At 39.0% G+C, this 7,512-nt stretch overlaps 1 annotated feature.

Annotated features, from left to right (window-relative positions):
- Positions 6,129-6,701: an enhancer, noted in NCBI's record as "H3K27ac-H3K4me1 hESC enhancer chr5:100516072-100516644 (GRCh37/hg19 assembly coordinates)". NCBI's record gives its function as "activates a minimal SCP1, AML or CMV promoter by ChIP-STARR-seq in primed H9 embryonic stem cells {active_cell/tissue: H9 hESC(primed)}" and the evidence as "EXISTENCE:reporter gene assay evidence [ECO:0000049][PMID:30033119]".

The following is a 7,512-nucleotide window of genomic DNA, read 5'->3' as shown; positions in this document are numbered from 1 at the left end:
GTTGATGAGTTTTTAAAAATCCCTATTACAAATTTGTAAATTAATTGTATTGATAAAAAAAATACGTTCTATAAATGTTCATCCTTTGCCTTTTGATGAGACATGCTTCTTAGCCCAGGGTATAGTCAACAATATTAAGTGTCCCATATATACCTAAATACGGTTTATTCTGTTATTGATAAATTCTGTGCCCTTTATACAGACATTGTGTCAATTCTGTCCATGTTATTGTTCAAATGTCTTATATTCTTATTATATTTTTTCACTTTTTAAATAACTGTTTTTGAGAAAAATATCTCAAAATACCTCCATATTTTTTGGAGGATTTTCTATTTTGGTGTCGTTGTTGTTGTTTAGTTTTGTCAAATTTTTAAATATATTTTAAGTGTATGTTATTTGTTGCTTATTCATTGTGTATTTAATTTCTGGAAGATGGACTTTTTCCAAATTATAATAATTCCCTCTTTTTCTCAAATAATACCTCTTGCATTGAAGTCTACTCTGTCTAACACTATTATACTTTAATATTCATATGATATGTATTGATCATATATATATATACATATGTGTTTAAATATTTCTGTCTCTCAATTTGTAAAATTAATCTCTTAGAAGTAGAATATAATAGGCTCTGCATTATTTTTTAATTGACTCTCATCACCTTTAACTTTTGAGGTGTTTTCTCACATCTTATGTATCTACTAACATAGTTGGGTTTAGTCATCATTGTGCTGGTAAATGTTAAACAATAACCTTTTCAAAACATTATGTGTACATATACATATAAATGTATACACACATACAAACACATATATTTTTCATAAACTTTACTGATAGGCAGAATGTGCAGCATATAATTTAAAAATACTAATGAATTATAATACTAAATGGTACAGTATAATAAATTTCATATAGTCAATTTTTTTTTTTATTATACTTTAAGTTTTAGGATACATGTGCACATTGTGCGGGTTAGTTACATATGTATACATGTGCCATGCTGGTGCGCTGCACCCACTAACTCGTCATCTAGCATTAGGTATATATCCCGATGTTATCCCTCCCCCCTCCCTGCACCCCACAACAGTCCCCAGAGTGTGATATTCCCCTTCCTGTGTCCATGTGATCTCATTGTTCAATTCCCACCTATGAGTGAGAATATGCGGTTTTTGTTCTTGCAATAGTTTACTGAGAATGATGATTTCCAGTTTTATCCATATCCCTACAAAGGACATGAACTCATCATTTTTTATGGCTGCATAGTATTCCATGGTGTATATGTGCCACATTTTCTTAATCCAGTCTATCATTGTTGGACATTTGGGTTGGTTCCAAGTCTTTGCTATTGTGAATAATGCCGCAATAAACATACGTGTGCATGTGTCTTTATAGCAGCATGATTTATAGTCCTTTGGGTATATACCCAGTAATGGGATGGCTGGGTCAAATGGTATTTCCAGTTCTAGATCCTTGAGGAATCGCCACACTGACTTCCACAATGGTTGAACTAGTTTACAGTCCCACCAACAGTGTAAAAGTGTTCCTATTTCTCCACATCCTCTCCAGCACCTGTTGTTTCCTGACTTTTGAATGTTTGCCATTCTAACTGGTGTGAGATGGTATCTCATTGTGGTTTTGATTTGCATTTCTCTGATGGCCAGTGATGATGAGCATTTTTTCATGTGTTTTTTGGCTGCATAAATGTCTTCTTTTGAGAAGTGTCTGTTCATGTCCTTCACCCACTTTTTGATGGGGTTGTTTGTTTTTTTCTTGTAAATTTGTTGGAGTTCATTGTAGATTCTGGATATTAGCCCTTTGTCAGATGAGTAGGTTGCAAAAATTTTCTCCCATTTTGTAGGTTGCCTGTTCACTCTGATGGTAGTTTCTTTTGCTGTGCAGAAGCTCTTTAGTTTCATTAGATCCCATTTGTCAATTTTGTCTTTTGTTGCCATTGCTTTTTGTGTTTTAGACATGAAGTCCTTGCCCATGCCTATGTCCTGAATGGTAATGCCTAGGTTTTCTTCTAGGGTTTTTATGGTTTTAGGTCTAACGTTTAAGTCTTTAATCCATCTTGAATTGATTTTTGTATAAGGTGTAAGGAAGGGATCCAGTTTCAGCTTTCTACATATGGCTAGCCAGTTTTCCCAGCACCATTTATTAAATAGGGAATCCTTTCCCCATTGCTTGTTTTTCTCAGGTTTGTCAAAGACCAGATAGTTGTAGATATGTGGTGTTATTTCTGAGGGCTCTGTTCTGTTCCATTGATCAATATCTCTGTTTTGGTACCAGTACCATGCTGTTTTGGTTACTGTAGCCTTGTAGTATAGTTTGAAGTCAGGTAGTGTGATGCCTCCAGCTTTGTTCTTCTGGCTTAGGATTGACTTGGCAATACGGGCTCTTTTTTGGTTCCATATGAACTTTAAAGTAGTTTTTTCCAATTCTGTGAAGAAAGTCATTGGTAGCTTGATGGGGATGGCATTGAATCTGTAAATTACCTTGGGCAGTATGGCCATTTTCACGATATTGATTCTTCCTACCCATGAGCATGGAATGTTCTTCCATTTGTTTGTATCCTCTTTTATTTCCTTGAGCAGTGTTTGTAGTTCTCCTTGAAGAGGTCCTTCACATCCCTTGTAAGTTGGATTCCTAGGTATTTTATTCTCTTTGAAGCAATTGTGAATGGGAGTTCACTCATGATTTGGCTCTCTGTTTGTCTGTTATTGGTGTATAGGAATGCTTGTGATTTTTGTACATTGATTTTGTATCCTGAGACTTTGCTGAAGTTGCTTATCAGCTTAAGGAGATTTTGGGCTGAGACAATGGGGTTTTCTAGATATACAATCATGTCATCTGCAAACAGGGACAATTTGACTTCCTCTTTTCCTAATTGAATACCCTTTATTTCCTTCTCCTGCCTAATTGCCCTGGCCAGAACTTTCAACACTATGTTGAATAGGAGTGGTGAGAGAGGGCATCCCCTGTCTTGTGCCAGTTTTCAAAGGGAATGCTTCCAGTTTTTGCCCATTCAGTATGACATTGGCTGTGGGTTTGTCATAGATAGCTCTTATTATTTTGAAATAGGTCCCATCAATACCTAATTTATTGAGAGTTTTTAGCATGAAGGGTTGTTGAATTTTGTCAAAGGCTTTTTCTCCATCTATTGAGATAATCATGTGGTTTTTGTCTTTGGCTCTGTTTATATGCTGGATTACATTTATTGATTTGTGTATATTGAACCAGCCTTGCATCCCAGGGATGAAGCCCACTTGATCATGGTGGATAAGCTTTTTGATGTGCTGCTGGATTTGTTTTGCCAGTATTTTATTGAGGATTTTTGCATCAATGTTCATCAAGGATATTGGTCTAAAATTCTTTTTGTTGTGTCTCTGCCTGGCTTTGGTATCAGAATGATGCTGGCCTCATAAAATGAGTTAGGGAGGATTCTCTCTTTTTCTATTGATTGGAATAGTTTCAGAAGGAATGGTACCAGTTCCTCCTTGTACCTCTGGTGGAATTCGGCTGTGAATCCATCTGGTCCTGGACTCTTTTTGGTTGGTAAGCTATTGATTATTGCCACAATTTCAGATCCTGTTATTGGTCTATTCAGAGATTCAACTTCTTCCTGGTTTAGTCTTTCGAGAGTGTATGTGTCCAGGAATTTATCCATTTCTTCTAGATTTTCTAGTTTATTTGTGTAGAGGTGTTTGTAGTATTCTCTGATGGTAGTTTGTATTTCTGTGGGATCGGTGGTGATATCCCCGTTATCATTTTTTATTGCGTCTATTTGATTCTTCTCTCTTTTTTTCTTTATTAGTCTTGCTAGTGGTCTATCAATTTTGTTGATCCTTTCAAAAACCCAGCTCCTGGATTCATTAATTTTTTGAAGTGTTTTTTGTGTCTCTATTTCCTTCAGTTCTGCTCTGATTTTAGTTATTTCTTGCCTTCTGCTAGCTTTTGAATGTGTTTGCTCTTGCTTTTCTAGTTCTTTTAATTGCGGTGTTAGGGTGTCAATTTTGGATCTTTCCTGCTGTCTCTTGTGGGCATTTAGTGCTATAAATTTCCCTCTACACACTGCTTTGCGTCCCAGAGATTCTGGTATGTTGTGTCTTTGTTCTCGTTGGTTTCAAAGAACATCTTTGTTTCTGCCTTCATTTCGTTATGTGCCCAGTAGTCATTCAGGAGCAGGTTGTTCAGTTTCCATGTAGTTGAGCGGTTTTGAGTGAGATCCTTAATCCTGAGTTCTAGTTTGATTGCACTGTGGTCTGAGAGATAGTTTGTTATAATTTCTGTTCTTTTACATTTGCTGAGGAGAGCTTTACTTCCCAGTATGTGGTCAATTTTGGAATAGGTGTGGTGTGGTGCTGAAAAAAATGTATATTCTGTTGATTTGGGGTGGAGAGTTCTGTAGATGTCTATTAGGTCTGCTTGGTGCAGAGCTGAGTTCAATTCCTGGGTATCCTTGTTGACTTTCTGTCTCGTTGATCTGTCTAATATTGACAGTGGGGTGTTAAAGTCTCTCATTATTAATGTGTGGGAGTCTAAGTCTCTTTGTAGGTCTCTAAGGACTTGCTTTATGAATCTTGGTGCTCCTGTATTGGGTGCATATATATTTAGGATAGTTAGCTCTTCTTGTTGAATTGATCCCTTTACCATTATGTAATGGCCTTCTTTGTCTCTTTTGATCTTTGTTGGTTTAAAGCCTGTTTTATCAGAGACTAGGTTTGCAACCCCTGCCTTTTTTTGTTTTCCATTTGCTTGGCAGATCTTCCTCCATCCTTTTATTTTGAGCCTATGTGTGTCTCTGCACGTGAGATGGTTTCCTGAATACAGCACACTGATGGGTCTTGACTCTTTATCCAATTTGCCAGTCTGTGTCTTAGTTGGAGCATTTAGTCGATTTACATTTAAAGTTAATATTGTTATGTGTGAATTTGATCCTGTCATTATGATGTTAGCTGGTTATTTTGCTCGTTAGTTGATGCAGTTTCTTCCTAGTCTTGATGGTCTTTACATTTTGGCATGATTTTGCATTGGCTGGTACCTGTTGTTCCTTTCCATGTTTAGTGCTTCCTTCAGGAGCTCTTGTAAGGCAGGCCTGGTGGTGACAAAATCTCTCAGCATTTGCTTGTCTGTAAAGTATTTTATTTCTCCTTCACTTATGAAGCTTAGTTTGGCTGGATATGAAATTCTGGGTTGAAAATTCTTTTCTTTAAGAATGTTGAATATTGGCCCCCCAATATTGGCCCCCACTCTCTTCTGGCTTGTAGGGTTTCTGCCAAGAGATCCACTGTTAGTCTGATGGGCTTCCCTTTGAGGGTAACCCGACCTTTCTCTCTGGCTGCCCTTAACATTTTTTCCTTCATTTCAACTTTGGTGAATCTGACAATTATGTGTCTTGGAGTTGCTCTTCTCGAGGAGTATCTTTGTGGCGTTCTCTGTATTTCCTGAATCTGAACGTTGGCCTGCCTTGCTAGATTGGGGAAGTTCTCCTAGATAATATCCTGCAAAGTGTTTTCCAACTTGGTTCCATTCTCCCCATCACTTTCAGGTACACCAATCAGACGTAGATTTGGTCTTTTCACATAGTCCCATATTTCTTGGAGGCTTTGCCCATTTCTTTTTATTCTTTTTTCTCTAAACTTCCCTTCTCACTTCATTTCATTCATTTCATCTTCCATCGCTGATACCCTTTCTTCCAGTTGATCGCATCGGCTCCTGAGGCTTCTGCATTCTTCACGTAGTTCTCGAGCCTTGGTTTTCAGCTCCATCAGCTCCTTTAAGCACTTCTCTGTATTGGTTATTCTAGTTATCCATTCTTCTAAATTTTTTTCAACGTTTTCAACTTCTTTGCCTTTGGTTTGAATGTCCTCCCGTAGCTCAGAGTAATTTGATCGTCTGAAGCCTTCTTCTCTCAGCTTGTCAAAGTCATTCTCCATCCAGCTTTGTTCCATTGCTGGTGAGGAACTGCATTCCTTTGGAGGAGGAGAGGCGCTCTGCTTTTTAGAGTTTCCAGTTTTTCTGTTCTGTTTTTTACCCATCTTTGTGGTTTTATCTACTTTTGGTCTTTGATGATGGTGACGTACAGATGGGTTTTTGGTGTGGATGTCCTTTCTGGTTGTTAGTTTTCCCTCTAACAGAGAGGACCATCAGCTGCAGGTCTGTTGGAGTACCCTGCCGTGTGAGGTGTCAGTGTGCCCCTGCCGGGGGTTGCCTCCCAGTTAGGCTGCTCGGGGGTCAGGGACCCACTTGAGGAGGCAGTCTGCCCATTCTCAGATCTCCAGCTGTGTGCTGGGAGAACCACTGCTCTCTTCAAAGCTGTCAGACAGGGACATTTAAGTCTGCAGAGGTTACTGCTGTCTTTTTGTTTGTCTGTGCCCTGCCCCCAGAGGTGGAGCCTACAGAAGCAGGCAGGCCTCCTTGAGCTGTGGTGGGCTCCACCAAGTTCGAGCTTCCCTGCTGCTTTGTTTACCTAAGCAAGCCTGGGCAATGGTGGACGCCCCTCCCCCTGCCTAGCTGCTGCCTTGCAGTTTGATCCCAGACTGCTGTGCTAGCAATCAGTGAGACTCTGTGGGCGTAGGACCCTCTGAGCCAGGTGCAGGATATAATCTCGTGGTGCGCCTTTTTTTAAGCCCGTCGGAAAAGCGCAGTATTCAGGTGGGAGTGACCTGATTTTCCAGGTGCCGTCCGTCACCCCTTTCTTTGACTCAGAAAGGGAAATCCCTGACCCCTTGCACTTCCCAAGTGAGGCAATGCCTCGCCCTGCTTCGGCTCGTGCACAGTGCGCGCACCCACTGACCTGCGCCCACTGTCTGGCACTCCCTAGTGAGATGAACCCGGTACCTCAGATGGAAATGCAGAAATCACCAGTCTTCTGCGTCGCTCACGCTGGGAGCTGTAGACCGGAGCTGTTCCTTTTCGGCCATCTGGGCTCCTCCCCCCCATATAGTCAATTTAATCTTACTGAATGCCTTTATTAATTTTTGTCAAACTGCTGTTTTCTGTGGTCAAATTACGATTTTGAATGATAAATGAGTATTGTTCTACCATATTTTTGTTTATGTTCTGAGAAAGACAAAAGTGAAAAAGATAGATATGCATCAACATTTTACTTATTTTTCAATGTAGTGAGCATCTTCTTTCTCAATCTAATGGTAGTTTTAAATACTGGAAGAACATTTTTTTTCAAAATATTGCCACACTTCAGTTGAATTTGCATTATCGTCACTTTTAAATGCCTGGAAAATCAACAACACAATCAATTCAGCCCTGATTTTTATGTTTGGTAATTTTTGTGATGTAAATACCCTACCGAAGATTTCAAGATGATGTCAAGGCAGACATGATGTCATTGACCATGGTGTTGCAAAGATAAGTGCAGCAGCAAAGTAACATCATATTTCCACCAAACATATACAATAAATATAAATAAGCAAATGGTTATAATTAAACTACATTAAAATGTAGTGAAATAATTTAAATTAGGGAGCTTAAGTTTTAGTAATATGTGGAAGT

Source organism: Homo sapiens, chromosome 5 (genome assembly GCF_000001405.40).
Source record: "Homo sapiens chromosome 5, GRCh38.p14 Primary Assembly".
In the NCBI taxonomy this organism is placed as follows: Eukaryota; Metazoa; Chordata; class Mammalia; order Primates; family Hominidae; genus Homo; species Homo sapiens.
The sequence above is the reverse complement of the archived record's forward strand: the minus strand, read 5'-3'. Positions and strand labels throughout refer to the sequence as shown.